The 18,309-nt window shown below is 37.9% G+C and overlaps 1 protein-coding gene and 1 long non-coding RNA gene across 5 annotated transcripts in view; one reads left to right on the top strand and one right to left on the bottom strand.

Moving 5' to 3' along the window:
- Positions 1–15,121, bottom strand: part of CLRN1-AS1 (CLRN1 antisense RNA 1) — a 108,049-nt gene extending 92,928 nt beyond the window's left edge. The window contains exon 1 of the long non-coding RNA NR_024066.2: positions 14,706–15,121. This is a non-coding gene — a long non-coding RNA (CLRN1 antisense RNA 1). The remainder of the gene's footprint in view (positions 1–14,705) is intronic.
- The window catches only part of CLRN1 (clarin 1), a 46,837-nt gene continuing 43,327 nt past the window's right edge, over positions 14,800–18,309 (top strand). For 3 of the 4 annotated variants that reach the window (NR_046380.3, NM_174878.3, NM_001256819.2), the window contains exon 1: positions 15,072–15,343. Coding sequence is in view for 3 of the 4 variants with exons in the window: in NM_174878.3 (NP_777367.1) it covers positions 15,091–15,343 (253 nt within the window). In the remaining variant the exon portion in view is untranslated. Of the gene's footprint in view, positions 15,344–18,309 lie in introns of all 4 variants that reach the window. The other variant, NM_001195794.1, reaches the window with a different exon arrangement.

Raw genomic sequence — 18,309 nt, 5'->3', positions numbered from 1 at the left:
TAGCCCTGCCCTGTAAGACATGTTCAAGGGAGTAAGGCACGGTAAAATAAAAGGACACTAGACAGTAACTCACAATCTTATAAATAAATAAGAATCTCAATAAAGGTACACACGCATGCAATTATAAAAGTCAATATTATCATAACAACAGTTTGTAATACTACCTTTTGTTTTCTATATGGTTTAAGAGACTAACACATTGAAAAAAACAATTATTAGTTTAAAAGCTAGGATTTTTGTAACTTTGGTTTGTAACTCCACATTCTATTTTCTATGTAATTTAAGAAACTAATGTATTTAAAATGTTACTAGCATATATTTTGGCATATGCAATAGAAAAAGATGTAATTTTGTGACATCAGCAACTAAAAGAGGTAGGGATGAGGCTGTAAAAAAGTAGATTTTTTCTTTATTATTCAAGTTAAGCTGGTATAAGTTCAAATTAGAGTATTATAACTTTACTGTATTAAGTGTAATTCCTATAGTAACTACAAAGAATATAGTTATAGAATATACACAAAAGAAAATGAGAAAATAAGTTAAACATTTAACTACAAAAAAAACCGATGAAACATAACAGAAGACAATAATGCAGGAAATGAGGGACAAAAATCTTACAAGGTATGTTAAAAACAAATAGTCAAATGACACAACTAAGTTCTTTCTTAGCAGTGATTAATATAAATATAAATAGATTAAACTCTCCAATCAAAAGAAAGATTGGCAGACTAGATAAAAAAACACATAATTAAACTATATGCTGTTTATAAGACACTCACTTTAGATCAAATAGATTGAAAAAGACATGGATTGAAAGTGAACAGATGGAAAAAGATATTTCATGCAAATAGTAACCAAAAGAGAGCAGAAGCAGTGATAGTAATATCAGACAGAATAGGTTTTAAATACAAAAACATTACAGGGGTCAAAGAAGGACATAACATTTTAATAAAAGGTTCAATACAGCAAGGAAAGATAACAATTATAAACCTTTATACATATCTAATAATAAACTATCAAAATATATGAAGCAAAAACTAATCCAACTGAATGGAGAAATAGACAGTTGTACAATAATAGTCAGATACTTCAATATCCCACTCTCAGTAATGGATAGAACAACCAGGCAGAAAACAAGTAAGGAAGTAGAGGACTTAAACAACACAATACACCAACTAGATGAAACAGACATATATAGAACACTTTACCCCCAAATACAAGCATACATATTCTTCTCAAGTGCACATGTGACATTTTCCAGGATAGAATATAGAATAGGCCACAAGTTAAGTCTCAAGTCTCAATAGAATTAAACAGGTAGATGTCATGCAAAGTATCTTCATTGACTACAAGGGATAAAGTTAGAAATCAATAATTTAAAAAAGGTGGAAACTTCAAATATTTGTGGAAATTAAACACAATACTCTTAATCAATAGATCAAAGATGAAATCACAAGGGAAATTAGAAAGTACTTAGAGACAAATGAAAATAAAATACAACATATCAAAACTTATGGGACACATTGAAAAGAGGAAAATTTATAGCTAAAAATTAGTCTCCCCTTATTCATGCAGGGTACATCCCAAGGTCCCCAGTGAATGCCTGAAACCTCAGCTAGTATCCTATACATATGATGTTTTTTCCTATACATATATAGCTATGATAGTTTAATTTGTAAATTAGGCATAGTAAGAGATAAACAGTAATAAAATAGAACAATTAAGCAATATATTGCAATAAAAGTTATGCAAATGTGTCTCTCTCTCAAAATATCTTATTGTACTATACTCACCTATTTTTAGACCACAGTTGATTGTGGGTAATTGAAATTAAAGAAAGTAAAACCACAGATGAGAGGGCACTACCATAAATGCTTATATTAAAAACAAAGAACAATCTCCAATCAGCAATCTCACTTTACAAGTTAAGGAACTAGTAAAAGAGGAAGGAACTAAACCCAAAGCCAGCAGAAGGATGGTAATAATAAAGATTAGAGCAGAGATCAATGAAAAAGAATAGAAAACAATAGAGAAAATCAGTAAAACCTATGTTGGTTCTTTGAAGAGATCAACAAAATTGACAAATCTTTAGTCAGATGAACTAAGAAAAAAATGAGGAGACTTAAATTAATAAATCAGAAATGAAAATGGGGACATTACTACCGATTCTACAGAAATAAAAAGGATTATGAATATAGTACTATGAATTAGTGTGCGCCAACAAATTAGATAACCTAGAAGAAAGAAATAGATAAGCTCCTAGAGACACAAAACCTACTGTATTAGTCAAGATTATCTAGAGGGACAGGACTAATAGAATAGATGTATATATAAAGGGGAGTTTATTTTTTATTTTTATTTATTTATTTTTTAAACATATTTGATACATTTTATTTTATTTTTTTATCATAATTTAAATTCTAGGGTACATGTGCACAACTGCAGGTTTGTTACATAGGTATACATGTGCCATGTTGGTTTGCTGCACCCACCAGTTCGTCATTTACATTAGGTATTTCTCCTAACTCTATCCCTCCCCCAGCCCCCTACCCCCCAACAGGCCCAGTGTGTGATGTTGCCCTCCCTGTGTCCATGTGTTCTCATTGTTCAACTCCCACTTATGATTGAGAACATGCAGTGCTTGATTTTCTGTCATAAAGGGGAGTTTATTAAGGAGTATTGACTCACACAATCACAAGGTGAAGTCCCACAATAGGCCACCTGCAAGCTGAGGAGCAAGGAAGCCAGTCTGAGACCTAAAACCTCAAAACCAGGGAAGGTGACAGTGCAGCCTTCAGTTTGTGGCTGAAGGCTTGACAGCTCCTGGCAAACTACTGGTGTAAGTCCAAGAATCTAAAAGCTGAAGAACTTGGAGTCTGATGTTTGAGGGCAGGAAGCATCCAGCATGGGAGAAAGATAAAAGCTGGAAGACTTAGCCAGTCTAGTTCTTCCATGTTCCTCTGCCTGCTTTTATTCCAGTTGTGGTGGCAGCTGATTAGATGGTGCCCATCCACATTGAGAGTGGGTCTGCCTCTCCCAGTCCACTGACTCAAATGTTAATCTCCTTTGGCAACATCCTCACAGACACACTCAGGAATAGTACTTTGCATCCTTCAATCCAATCAAGTTGATACTCAGTATTAACCATCATGCCTACCAAGACTAAATCATAAAAAAATAGAGAAAATTTGAATAGACTTATGACCAGTAAGGAGATTAAATCAGTAATCAAAAATCTCCTGACAAAGAAAAGCCCTGGACCTGATGGTTTCACTGCTAAATTCTACCAAACATTTAGAGAACTAGTATTCTTCTCAAACTTTTTCCAAAAAATGGAGAGGAAGGAACACATCCTAACTCATTCTATGAAGCCAGCAAGTACCCTGTTACAAAAGCCAGGCAAAGACACTGCAAGAAATTACAGACCAATATCCCTTATGAATACTGATGCAAAATTTCTTAACAAATAGTAGAAGACTGAATTCAGCAGCATATTAAAAGGATTATACATCATGACCAAATGAGATTTATTCCTGGAATGCAAGGATGATTCAGTGTATGAAAATCACCAAATGCAATACACCCTATTAACATAATGAAAGAAAAACCTACATGATCATCTCAATTGATGCAGAAAAAGCATTTGACAAAATTCAACATCCTTTCATAAAAAAAAAAAAAACCTCAATAAACTAGGAAGAAAAAGCAACCACTTCAACATAATAAAAGCCATATTTTAAAATCACAGCAAACATCATATTCAATGGTGAAAATTTGGAAGTCTTTCTCTAATGAAGCAGGATGCCAGCTTTCACCACTTACATTTAACATAGTACTGCAAGTTCTAGCAAGAGCAATTAGGCAAGAAAAAGAAATAAAAGGCATCCATATTGGGAAGAAAGAAGAAAAAAATATGTGTAAGGATGCCCTGTCCAAATCAAATATTTGGAACTGTTCCCTGGCTGAGAGTAAATCACCCAGGTTGGGTACTGTATAAAATCGAACTTTAGCATTTGGTTCCACCCCCGACACACAGAGAATCTAAACTCAGAAACATTACCCTGGCACATCTTGGACTGGTCATTTCTAGCATAGGGTGGCAAATGTGGATGCTGCTGAGAATTGCTTCCAGATCTCAAATTAAGGAAAGGGTGTGTATTAATATTTCCTGGGGAGTTGCAGTGAGTGGCTGTGGATGCATGCATGAGCAACAGTACATGTATCTTCAGTGACCTCCTACCCAATAGTTATTAAAAGTTGAATTTGTTGCTGTCAAAACAATCAGACAGACTAAACAACCAAAACAACCATGTGTGTGTATCCATTGGAATCCTCACAAAGACATTTTATTAAGTGAAAAATCCTAGATGCAGAAGGGTTTGCATGGCATATTGCCGTTGGCTTAGAATGCAAGTGGTAGAAGGAGGATGTATTTACATCTATGCTAAGATGATCAGAGAATATAACAGGAAAGTTTCATAAGAAATTATCTTGGCAGAGGAGTGCCTGGGAGACTGAAGTTCAGAGATAAAAGAAGACTTTGTTTTCACCGTTTACACTTTTACAATTTTTGAATTTCTAAAACCATGTGTATGTATTAACTATTTCAGATAGATAGGTGACAGATAGATGGATAAATAGCAATAGCTAGTAGGATTTCTTACATCTTCCCCCTCCATATCTATTTTGTTAACCTTGCTTATGCCTTGAGAGGCTGACCTTTGGTTTCCTGTTGGGTTTGGTCAATGGGAGCACCAGCAGCAGATCAGAGGAGAGGAAAGGAAAGGAAAAGAGTCCGGTCGAGCTGTCTATTCTGTCATCTTCCTCCCTGTGGGGTTATAGTGCACTCCAGAAGTCAACAGAAGGGCATAGTTCTTGTCAGGAGGCCCTCTCCACACAGGCTTCTCTATCTATAAGTTCAAGGACTATGCCCTCCCCAGCCCCCTTCAGTTCTGATAGGGACTCCATCATCCCTTGTAGTTTCCCTAAACCCCTCCCACATCTTTGAAAATTGTCCCTTTATTAAACTGTCCTTTTCAGATTATATTTGAGTGAGCCAAAGGTTCCTATTGGGATCCTAAGAGACAAACAAACAGAGAAATGAGAGAGATGAGGAGTGAGGAAGTGGGAAAGAGGTAACAAAAAGAAAAGAAACTTGAAGGGGATAGTGTAGAAGTGTTGCTTGACCACAGGCACCACATTCCAGAGTCGAGCCCTCAGCATTACAGGTTCATTGACTTGTTTTTGCTAGGGCTCTGAAAATGGGTCTCTTCCTGCTGAGGTCACAAGAGACTGAAGAATTATGATGATGATGATTATTATTATAATTATTATTTTAGAGGCGGGGTCACACTATGTTGCCCAAACCTCAAATTATCCTCCTGCCTCAGCCTCTTATGTTGCTGGGATACCAGGCAAGAGCCATCGCGCCCGACTGAAGAATTAATCAGAATACCAGTTTACCTACTTAAAGCAAAAACTAGAACTTCCAAAGGGAGTATTATTAGAGTGTCTTCTGAATCATCACAAAAATAAAAACTTATGTGTGGCATGAAATTAGTAGTAGGTAGACATTGCCTTATACATGTTATGACCTCGGCAGAATCCCGGAATGCACCAAGTTGCCTCGTGGAGATTATTTAATCTAATAATTTTTCAAACAAGTAGGGGATAACTCCCCCCAAGAATTTCAGACATGTGAAGGCTTTAAAAATATCTCTACATCCCCGAAAGATATTAAAATAATCCCTTAGGAGTTATTTCCTCCCTTGGCTGCTTTCCTTAACCCACTGAAAATCACCGTCTGTGATAAGAACTGTTCCTGATGACAGTGTTCCTTATCTGTACCTGTATAGGCAGAGGAAAGGTCCAGAAGCACAAATCAAGTCAACCTACTCATCTGAAGAGTGAAAAAAATGAAAGCCAAGGAGGAAAGTTAACTTGAATGTGGTCATAGTAAGTTAGCACTAGGAAGTACCTCTATTGAACCCAGGTATCTTGATGATGCTGCTTCTTCCAAAACATATTGAATGTTTACAATAGAACAATTTTTGAAGGAAGCATTTCTTAAATTATAATTCTTTTGCAAACAATGCTCCCTGTATGTAATAGTATATATAACACCTATGTTAAACAAAATATTAAATTAACTTGAATATCCTGTTTTTCTATTCTAAGAGGTTAATTCATATTGAAAGAGATTATTCATTTGCATGAGAAAATAACTAGAGAGTTCTATGCTGAGTGGTGACATTTAAAGATATTCTAATTGTTTTATTTAGATATAAGTCACATATAGTAAAATTCTCCTTTTTTAGTTGTACAGTTCAAGAATTTTTGACCAATGTTTTCAGGTACATAATCCTGCCACAGTCATTGCTGAACAAAATTTCCTCCTGCCCCTTGGTAGGCAATACCCTCCCCCAACTTTCAGCCCTTGCCAAACTTTGATCTAATTTTTGTCCTTGATCTAAGCTTTGCCTTTTTCAGACGTCATATAAATGAAATCACTTATGACCTTCTGAGTCTGGCTTATTCCACTTGGCAAAAACCATTTAAGATTTATTCATTTTGGTGCATGTGTTAGTTTGTTCCTTTTTTCTCCTGAATAGTGTGCCATTGTATAGATGTACCACTGTTTGTTTATCCATTCACCAGTTGATGAACATTTGGGTTGTTTGCATTTTGGGGTATTTATGAATAAAACCACTATAAACATTTATGTACAAATATTTATGTGGACCTTGCTTTCATTTCTCTTGGATAAATATCTGGAGTAGGATTACTAGGTCATATTTAAGTATGTGTTTAACTTTTAAAGAAACTGTTAAACTGTATCCCAAAGTGGCTGTGCCATCTGGCATTCCCACCAATATTCTAAAGGATTCCAGTTGCTCTGCATCCTCGCCAGAATTTGGTGTTGTCAGTTGTTTGTTTGTTTTCTAAATTTTAGTCATTTTAATAAGTAGGCTGTGATATCCCATTGCAGTTCTAACTAATGATACGGAGCATCCTTTCATGGGCTTCTTTGCTACCCATGTCTCTTCTTTGAAGAAGTATCTTTCAAATATTTTGCCCATTTTAAATTGGGGTATTCATTTTCTTATTGCTAAATTTAGAGATTTCTTTATATAATCTGTATACAAGTCCTTTATCATGTATATATTTTTCGCATACTTTTGCCCAGTCTGTGGCTTGTTTTTTTCATTATTTAGTGTTTTTCAAAGAATAGAAAATTTTAATTTATCAACTTGTTTTTAATTTTATGGTTCATACTCTTTTTATCTATGAAATCTGTACCAGAAGCAACAAAGACCTTAGTCTATGTTTTCTTCTAGAAGTTTTATATTTTAGGCTTTACTCTTAGATCTATAATACATATCTAATAAATTTTGCATATGATATGGTTTTCCTTTTAAAATCTTTAAAATAATCTTTTTCATAATGATAAAATATTTCTTGTATAATTAATATGACAATGTCATCAGCTAGCTTAGCTTTCATTCCAGTAGAAGTGAAGGCACAGAGTAAAGCTTAGTTCTCCTCCATAAGGACTTCAGGTTTGTTGAATTTCCATCTATTCTCAGTAGTGCCCATGGCTCGGTGCCCAGGCATTATACATCATTTAAAGACACAATGCCATGTCTGATCTAGCTTGCTGGTGATTTTCAGTACATGACAAGTCCAAGAGTTTTGGCTCCCAACTATGGTAATTGCATAGACAGTTCCCACTCCAGCTTAGGGTTCCCAGTGCTCACCACCTCCTTACCTAGCTATGGCTGCTTATCTTGGAAAGAAACCTTATAGGTAAGGCATTCATAATACCCTCTGGGGTTTCTTTAACTACAATCTGCCTTCACATAATTTTTTCAAATAAGGACTGTGCATATCAAATATACACAGACAAGTAAAAATTAATAATGATCTTATATTCCTTTCAACCTGAATTTCCTGGAAAAGGACTCAACCTAGAAATTTTGTCTTGCTTTATTAGTGCTTAATAAAACTGTCTTGGCCATCGGGTTTAAAATATTTAGTTTTAATACTTCACTGCCCTAGTGACTGGCTTATATTTTACCAAAGGAACAGTATTATTTTTCGAAGGTACACAGATATGCACTTCATTAAGGATTTTCATCTTCTCAGAGATGGGCAAAGTATTTATTCTTGATAATCAAACTAAAGGAGGAGAAAGCATGCGCATCTAGAACAGTTATGGTAGAAGATATTTGAAATATTAATTCATGTGTGTTCTCCCTTCTCTACATGTCTGATTCCTTTATATCTCCCCTGGGGGTTGGAGGCAGAAAGAGTCAGATCTAAGCAGGACACACATTGCTGCCTGCCAATTTGCTAAAGGTCACTGTAGTCTAGGAAAGTAAAAAGGAGGAAGGCACCCAGTAGTCAGAAGGGAGAGTATTGGGAAACTAAGCTGGAGCTAGAGTGGAAGTCAAGTGCCAGATGATTTTACCCAGTTGTGCTGCTATCCAGTCCTTCTCGTGGCCAGCTAGTGAGGCCCGCCACCAGACAGCAGCCTTGACCAACAGCATCCCAGCTTGTCTGTGCTCCAGGACCCAGTTCAGCCCTCCCTACTCCTTCTGCTTCTCTCCATGAAGTCAATCCCAGGAAGTTCAGCAGCCCGGTACTCTTATGGTTCCTCCAGGATAAGAGGGTGGGGCCCTGAACACCTTTAGTGACAGTATAAAAGGGCAATATTCATCCCTGATGAAGGAAGGACCAGACAAGGCCAGCTTGATTGAAAGCTCCCACTAAGCTAGGGCAGTGTTGGCCACAGAGACCTTGTGACTCCGGACGGTTGATACCAATATATATATGTACCTCACATAGGGTCTGAGTAGCTACCACCTGTCCCTTCACTAGGCAGCCATCACAGTTTGTTTCACCTAGTGCCCTGGACCAAGAGCCAGATGGTGGGGAGAGCTGAAAATCAGTGCCTCCCAGAAGCTTTTTTTAGAATGCACACAAAGAGGAAAAAGACAAAACAAGTAAAAGACAAAGAGAACTTTGAAAACAGAGAACTGCACTTGACTGCCGGGAAGGAGAATGGTGACAGCTGGAGAAAAACTGAACAATAAATTTGGGCACTATAGGGCAGTTCAAGGCTTTATTGGTGGGGAAAAAAAATTGCTTCCTTCTCAATTTTTGCAGACTGGCTTCCAGTGATTTGACTTGCGTCTCTTAATATTACTTTTACATTTTCAGGAGACACAATCTGGTTGATTTAGATGTCTAATCCTAATCAAAGTAGGCTAGAGAGGGTGGGTCACATTGTTCAAATGTGGCTGTCACAGAGTTTATATCTGTGGTGCGTGCCTGTAGTCCCAGCTACTTGAGAGGCTGAGGCAGGAGAATCACTTAAGCCCAGGAGTTCAAGACTAGCCTGAAAATATAGTGAGACCCTGTCTTAAAACAAACAAACAAAAAAAAGTTGGTAATCACCAAATCAAACTACCCCAAAATGTACTATTTTAGCACATCTATCCTAAGTTATATCAATGAGGACAATTATTATCTGTTTCCCTGTGCTAGGAATGTGGTTTGCCTATTATCGTTAAAGGATGTGTCTTAAACTATGCCTTCTTTCTTCACCTCTTCAGGTTAGGTAACTTTTTCCTCCTTTCTGTAGGAGCTCAGACATTCTGCTGGGTGAAGCTTAAGTATCAACATAGCCTTAATGTGAGATACCAACAAGAAACCCAGACAAATCCGAAGGTGTCACACTGGATCTTTTTTTTTTTTTTTTGAGACGGAGTCTTGCTCTGTCGCCCAGGCTGGAGTGCAGTGGCGCGATCTCGGCTCACTCTAAGCTCTGCCTCCCGGGTTCACGCCATTCTCCTGCCTCAGCCTCCCGAGTAGCTGGGACTACAGGCGTCCGCCACCACGCCCGGCTAATTTTTTTTGTATTTTTAGTAGAGACGGGGTTTCACCATGTTAGCCAGGATGGTCTCGATCTCCTGACCTCGTGATCCACCCTCCTCGGCCTCCCAAAGTGCTAGGATTACAGGCGTGAGCCACTGCGCCCGGCCACGAGATCTTATTTAACAGACAGCATGGGCAGCAACTTTACTCCACTCCCTGGTTCCTCTCTGTGGCTTTTGTGTCAGAAGCACAATTCTTTCACTTATTCTAAATGTCTCCACAACCATCATCAGCCCCAAAAATCCCTGTACTGAATTCTCTCCTCTCAGTCCAAATCCACTGCGGGTTCATCTGTATTCCAAGAGAACTTTGTTTTCTTTTTCTTCCTTTCCCTCAATCCTTTTAATCCTCTAGTTCAAGCAATTAGCTCTACAAATATTAGCTGCAATCAAGGTCTAGCACATGTGGTAATTTTCTCTCTAATAAATCAATCAATTCTTTCCATGGAGTGTTTTTTTCCTTTACAGTCATTAGAAAATTACAATGCTACTTGAGGATCACCAGCAACTTGAATTAGTCAAGGCACGTCAATCAAATTTGCCAGATTTTGCTTTAAAGATGAGAAAAATGGGGTAGATTTACAAAGGCCTCTTGTCTTAGAATAGGAAGCTTGATAGACCCTTGTTGAATCTCTCTTAGAGAGGCCTTGGAGTATAATGATCCATTTGGAGGAAAATCAAAATCAGTACTACCAGTGACAAATCAGACAAAACATAGAACCTCTCATTAAATAATCTAAAAATTAATAATTGGAATAATCAGCCATGCAGTGTCCCTGGGCAATGCAATATTCCGTAATAGCTAACAGGTTAGCACAGCAAAGAAAAAAGAGACATAATCTAGCAAATGGCCAAACTGTAGTTCTATGGCTTATTAAATTTTTTTTTCTTTAGTTAAATGGGAACTAAAGGAGCCAAACTGTGCTTCTCGAAGCTGTCTTTCACGTTGGGGATAGGACACTGTAGGGAGTAGGGAGCTGGGGAGCCCAGTGACAACTCCTTGATCACCCACCCTCCCAGTATAGCAGCTCGATTTTTGTCTTATTTCACACAAGTTGTGTTGAGGCAATGGTTTTTCTTCTTAAAAATGATTTGAGAATCACCTATGCAGCCCAGACCACTCTTTTCATAAATATGTAAAATTAATGCCAGAGAAGGAATTCTTAATTTAGCCATACAGCTGGAAATAGACCCTGGACAGGATCTTCCCATGCCATGCTATACTGTCTCTTATACTTGGCGAACAAACCAGGTGAGAATTTGCATCCCTTTGTAATGGGGCTGCTTTTTTTCTTTTGTTTTCAAATGGTTATAAGGAAAAACTGATGCAGCCAAGTTAGTGTGAGAAGAGGCACAAATGCTACACTGGAAGTGAAAACAGAGTCTGCAATTGTGCTCCTTTCTCTACAGAATCTCTAGTCACTCTGAAGAATTATATCATTATCCAGCACCTGAAAGGGGTCAGAGGAGGGGGAGGCCTAGTTCCATTTTCTTATGTCACCGAATGTATTCCTATTAAGATTGAGAGAAGTAAAGATTTCAGCAGGATACTTGGTGAAAACTTGCTGACATTAATGACTCAAATTCTCAGAGAGACTGCAAGGAAAATGGTGTCATCACTGTCATTCAAGACATTTAAGATGAAATTTCAAAAGAAGGCTGTCAGGCATAATGACTGCCAGGTTCCATTATATCATTCTCAGAGGGTGGATCACACACACTACTACGCAGCCTGTGGGTGGCTGATGCTGAAGTTTGAAAGGAAGCTGCATGGAGAAGAGGTGAGGGGGGCTGCCTCACATGAACAGGATACAGCACCATTGATATTCATATGGTGATTTGGGGGTAAATCTATGAATCGGGGCCTGGTCTTTTGTTGTGGATATGCTGAAACCTAGTGCTGAAAAAATGTAGGAAAGTTTGAGCTGTAAATGGTAGTGCCTATTTATTAATTTGCTATGAGCATATTCCTCTCTAGCGACCCAGATGCTCATGTCTGTGTGCATTCCAGCACTGAGATGCCTGCAAAGCCTAGTTTGTAATCAGTAGATAGCCATGTGAAAAGGAGATAAGGGCAGTGGCTTCCAACCTTGGCTGCACAATGCAATCACCTGGGGTGATTCGACGCTAAGGCCATACTCTAAAATCAAATAAATCTGAATCTCAGGGATGAGGACACAGACATCAGTACTTTTAAAATCTTCTCAAGTGATTCTAATGAGCAGCAAAACTGAGAACCACCGTGTCAAAGCAAAGGGTGAGGTTTTAGGCCTCAAAGGGTGAGTCTCACCCTTTCCACTCAGGGATCTTTTATGTCATAGAGCAGTGGGTTTGATTTGGTTTTGTTTTAAATCAGGAGTAGACATAGGTTTGCCAGTTTCTAAATTTGTCAAATAAAATCATTAAAAATTCAACTACCATTATCTCATTAAAGAAAGAAAATTTCAACAATAAAAATTAGGAAGGGCCTAACTTCAGGATATAAGAGTAACTCAGTATGTTGTATTTATTTTTCCCATGTCTCTACAGACGAGTGAACATGTCGCTACAGACTGATGCAAACTGATGCAACTGATGTGATCTAATTGCTCTCTACACCCATAATCAAGGCTTTCCTCCTTGGACAGCTTTAGATATACTTGGCTGAGTTTGGGTTAATTAAACCGCTGTCCTATGCTAACTATCCTTCTCTTGCCATATCCTTTAGTAGAGGTTATTAATAGTATTGATTAAGTTGTAGGTGATTTCTTCTCCCAGGCTTTGGAAATGTTCTGTCTCTTCCAATTACAGAATATGTTGATTTAGTAAGCTCAGCTCTGCTTAGACATCTTAAACTAAGTTTTCTAGGGTGACTGTGGCACATATATGCCCAAATAACCACTTATCAGGGGCACTGGCACCCCCTTGTTTTGCTAGTGGACCATGATAGCGATTATTCTAAATCCAGTGGTGAATTCATTGGAGGGCCAAATAAACTGAGATGAGTTGCTTATTCTGTGTTCTAGCAATTATTCTAAATCCAGTGGTGAATTCATTGGAAGGCCAAATAAACTGGGATGAGTTGCTTATTCTGTGTTAAGTTATACAAAATAAAAAAGACTTACTAATATTGTAAACTTTATTTTAAGTGCCTCTTTGGAATCTTCTATATGCCCAGTTCTTCTGTGGCCATGTTTTATATTGCCCCTCTTCTCCCCGAAGGTACATTGGCATTCTAGAATGAGTTCTATACTTAGTTGTCTGTCCTTAACGAGACTGGCTGTTGCGACTCCTAGGAGAGGCGAGCTGTGAGAGAAGTTTACCAGTACTCCGAGTCTATACCTCAAAGTTCCCTTCGAAGTGTGCATAATGTAGAGACTCATTTATGCTGAAAATGGTGTGAAATAAGTCTTCATTTATTAATTTCCTCTAAGCTGTCATGCTTAAAGGTGGATCAAAAGAATAGAAGCTAGCATACACATGTGCTTTTGGCCAACTGAAAAAGTTCTATTTACTGATGTCTGTGTTCTTCAAACACTCAATATGTGTAACTAATAATGGGCTAGTCTGCCCCTGTTACTCCTAGACGAACCCAACCCAAACTGAAATGTTTGCCATCTTTTCAAGGTCAGGGGCTTTGCTTGGAATAGAACATCAACCTCAGAAGTAGAAGACCTGGATTTGAATCCCAGCTCCACTACTCTCTTCAGCAAGTTGCTTAAACTCTCTGAGCCTCAATTCCCTTATATATAAGATACGAATAATTGCTTTTTCTTCTTCTTTCTTCTTTCTTATTCTTCTTCCTTCTTCCTTTCTCCTCCTCCTCCTCCTTCTTCTCCTCCTCCCTCCTCTTCTTCTTCCTCTTCTTCATTACTTTATATGCTAATTATGAGAATTACATATGATAATTTAGGTAGAATACTTCACAAGTTGCCAGACATAAGTTCTTACTAAACATTAACTTTGTAGGTCAGAGCTCAGGACAATAACATGGCATATAATAAACATTCACTAGACACTTCACACACACACACACACACACACACACACACACACACACACACACAGTCCTGTGTCTGTAGAAGGAGGAATCTCATTGGAAATGCAAAGTTAAAAAGCTGTTACTGAATTCTGAACTTTAGTTTCCAGGTCTTGACCGTTTAACCAGACCTACCTGCTGCTTAATCTTTGCTCATAACTGTCTCTAGTCTCCCAAACAGATTACCTTTGCTGAGACCTGTGCATTTTTATGATGAATCCATAGAGTCACCTATCTGACCACCATCCCTCTTTCCATCAATATGCCCTTATCTTTACAGATCCTGGTATTCCTTGGACCCAGAAACACATTCCCTTGCTATTATCCTAAAGCAGCTAAGCCTGTTAAAGGAAAGCATTTAGAAATCTAGATATCTGCTCCTGCATTTTCATATTTCTGTATGCCAAGAAAAATTTGAATCAAATTCTCTATTGATACATTAGGTATAAACCATGGATCTGGGAGAAATTAAGTTGGAAGGACAAGGACCCATGGTTGATCCAGAGCACTTAATATTCGTGTAGGACCAAATTCTGTTTAATATTTTTATCCTGCTGTAATTAAAAATTTTTGACATCAACTATCAATACAGGTACATATGTTCTCCCTACCTCTGCTAAAGCTCCTTCCCCCACCACCAAAAACAATAACAAACAAAAAACAAAAATAAAAACATCGATAAGTGAACTTCTCAAGTTGCTGAAAATGTACCATCAGATTCAAGCCTGTTTCTGAAAGTTTCAACTCACCCAATCAGACAAAAGGCTGAGGAAGGGAAACATTTATCAAGTTACACTGAGGACTCCATCTGTTATCTTCGACCTTTGTTACCAAGTGACACAGAGGAGATACTTGAAGGCAGTTTGAAAGACTTGTTTTACAGATTCTTAGTCCAAAGATTTCCAATTAGGGAGAAGAAGCAGCAGAAAAGGAGAAAAGCCAAGTATGAGTGATGATGAGGCCTTCATCTACTGACATTTAACCTGGCGAGAACCGTCGATGGTGAAGTTGCCTTTTCAGCTGGGAGCTGTCCGTTCAGCTTCCGTAATAAATGCAGTCAAAGAGGCAGTCCCTTCCCATTGCTCACAAAGGTCTTGTTTTTGAACCTCGCCCTCACAGAAGCCGTTTCTCATCATGCCAAGCCAACAGAAGAAAATCATTTTTTGCATGGCCGGAGTGTTCAGTTTTGCATGTGCCCTCGGAGTTGTGACAGCCTTGGGGACACCGTTGTGGATCAAAGCCACTGTCCTCTGCAAAACGGGAGCTCTGCTCGTCAATGCCTCAGGGCAGGAGCTGGACAAGTTTATGGGTGAAATGCAGTACGGGCTTTTCCACGGAGAGGGTGTGAGGCAGTGTGGGTTGGGAGCAAGGCCCTTTCGGTTCTCATGTAAGTAGCAATTGCATTTGAGTTATTTAATGCTTTAGGCAGACTCTTCCCAGTGTTGCGAGGAATTATATTTGAGAATTTTGCCGTGTTTACTGCAGGACTTTTTAAATCGGTGTGAACCATATGAAAAACCTATGACTCTGAGCAATTTCTTCTTCCTAGTTTTTATTATTTTATACTTGCTTTTTATTATAATATAGAGTTAATTCATTGTTACATAATTAAGGTTTTTGGAAATATTGGCAATTAAGATGCTTAAGTATTAATATTTATGTAAAAAATTATGGAGTCTTTTTAAAAAAGTAAACTTGGGGAAATAGGAAAGCTGTAAAGAATGATCTTTATGCTTTTTGTTCTTTATAAAAAGAACCAAGGTCATGGGCTCCGTATTTAACCAGGTTGCCACCTTTCTCATGATTTTGTTTCCTGCTCCCCACTCCCTCCCATTATTCCTGCTAAGACCTTTCCTGCTGCTAAATATTCAGTTTTCATTTTTAACTAATTTGGAATCATTTGGCTATAGAAATTTAAAATGATCTGCTGTGCTAACTGGGAAAGAAATGGATGCCTATTTAGTATAGAACATTTTAAACTGATTGACCTGCAAATCATGTAGAGAATATGAGAGAGATTTTCTTGTTGTGATTTTTGTGAAATGGAAGTGTAATCCACAGTATTTATAACCTGTTTATCTTAAGAAGAGAATTTTTAAAAATTACCATGTGAATAGGCAACTCATTAAATGAAAATTAATAGGAAGTCATTTGTTATATCTCTTACAACACACATTCAGAAGTTATTATTATTTCAGAAGGGCTGGTTTGGAACAACCTTATGAAGACACAGTCAGTAAATTACTGCATAAATCACTCTTCAGGAAAGGAGGTTACCAACTGAAGCATTTAAAATGAATTATTATTTTGCCCAGGTTTTTTTTTTCTTTCTAGTATAGGTAGAAGGCTAAATTAATTGAATTTATTATTAACATATGCAGTGCCTAATTAAATTTCAGTGCTGGTCTATTTATATTTCTGCAACATTCCTTATATCTTCTTAGCAGTCATTGGACACCAACCTTCAGCTCACATAGGTTACTAAGTGATATGAATTTTCATAGGGCTCCAGAAAATTTCCAAGAATTGGTTGTTAGCTTTTTAATTGATGAAGTGGATACCAGTTCTTTTCACTGAATGGCTTTTATTCATTAAGGTAATGGGGCTGTTAGAGTTGCTTAGTTTTCCTGGGGAAGGGGAAGGAAGAAAACAAAGCAGAATGTCATGTGATATGCAACTGTATTAAAAAACCGAAAAGGAAAAAAGTTGAGAGAGATGATTTAACCGTGAGTCACCGGCAGCCAAAGCGTGAGTAAAGCTTCTCACAGATGAATTTAGACAAAAGCGGAGAAGGTACTGGTGAATTTTCTGGAGCCTTTACATTTTCTACAGTGAAATGGAGATAAACTTTACTCATGCCATAGGACATGTTTCAAAACAATAATAAGATGTTTTCTGAACACTTACTACATACTAAGCACTTTATATGCTTTGTCTCATTTAATCCTTACACAGCCACATTCTTCTGGGGTTTAGCGAATGATTTTTGTGGTTGTGTCCTATGCTTGTCCTGTCTAAGGATGAAGTTGTTCTAATTGGGTGCCCCTCCTTTTGCTTTCTGTGAGGACTTGCAGAACTGGTGGGGTTTAAACAGTACCCTCACTTATCTCACAGAATTTCATTAGCTCCCAGATACCCCTGACATTCTCCCCCTAGCCTAGTGAAGAAAATCTTCCATTTACTTGTTCATTCTGCAGTGACAGCTCCATCAATATACAATAGACTATACATATTAAGTGTACTGTATATACTATACATGTTAAAAATCTCATTCATTTTGGTGAGGCCCAGCTAAGAATACTTACAGTAGAGCTTTTTTTTTTTTCCTAAGCATAAAAGTATCTTTTTCAATGCAGCATGAGACAGAGTTGGGAAAACCAAAATAAATAGATCCAATGGACTCCCCAAAGAGGATAATATTCATTTAAATAAACACCCCTCTCAGTGTTAAAACTTTCTAATCAACATGCCTTTGGGACACATTGCACCCTCAAAGTTTACACTCCCATTGCAACGCAGCTTTGTGGTTCACGTTTTTTCCATTCAGAATGTCATTACCCTGTCAATGATGTTTCATCAACGTTTGCTTGGATGAGAATCCTCTGATATTCTTCCTGATAGAAATGTATAAGCCCTGTTCATATAAATGAATAAAAGATCTAACCTTACTTTCTCAGTAGTGGCTTCCTTGGAGCAAAAAGCAGGGACCTCCAGAGAGCTCAGGTGGATGACTCTTTTCTGTTTCTTCCAGAGCTCAACTTACAATTAGTGCACAATTCATTTCCCAGAATGTCTTCTTTCTTATTGTGCCTTTAGAAAGTTATTAAGCAAACATTTGAATTCACAGAATCTTACCAGTGTAAGAGGAATGGAAAAGGTAACTTATCAAGGTAACAATCACTTCGTGGCCAGTTTTTTCGGCTCACTGCAACTACCCCTCCTGGGTTCAAGCGATTCTCCTGCCTCAGCCTCCCAAGTAGCTGGGACTACAGGCGTGCACCACCATGCCCAGCTAATTTTTTTTTTGTATTTTTAGTAAAGACAGGGTTTCACCATGTGGGCCAGGCTGGTCTCATGGCAAGTTTTCTTTGTGTTGTCATGTTATTATCAATTAATAGGAATTTATATTTCAGTTCTGTTAGGTGGATAAACACTATTTTGCATACCTAAATGTTTCATTTATATCAGCACTGGCCAATAAAAATATACTATAAGCAGGCCGGGTGCAGTGGCTCACGCCTGTAATCCCAACTTTTGGGAGGCCAACACTTTGGGAGGACACAGGGTCAGGAGATCGAGACCATCCTGGCTAACCTGGTGAAATCCCGTCTCTACTAAAAATACAAAAAATTA

The sequence above is a fragment of the Homo sapiens genome, chromosome 3 (assembly GCF_000001405.40).
Source record: "Homo sapiens chromosome 3, GRCh38.p14 Primary Assembly".
In the NCBI taxonomy this organism is placed as follows: Eukaryota; Metazoa; Chordata; class Mammalia; order Primates; family Hominidae; genus Homo; species Homo sapiens.
Note: the sequence above shows the minus strand (reverse complement) of the source record. Positions and strands in the feature narration are given on the sequence as shown.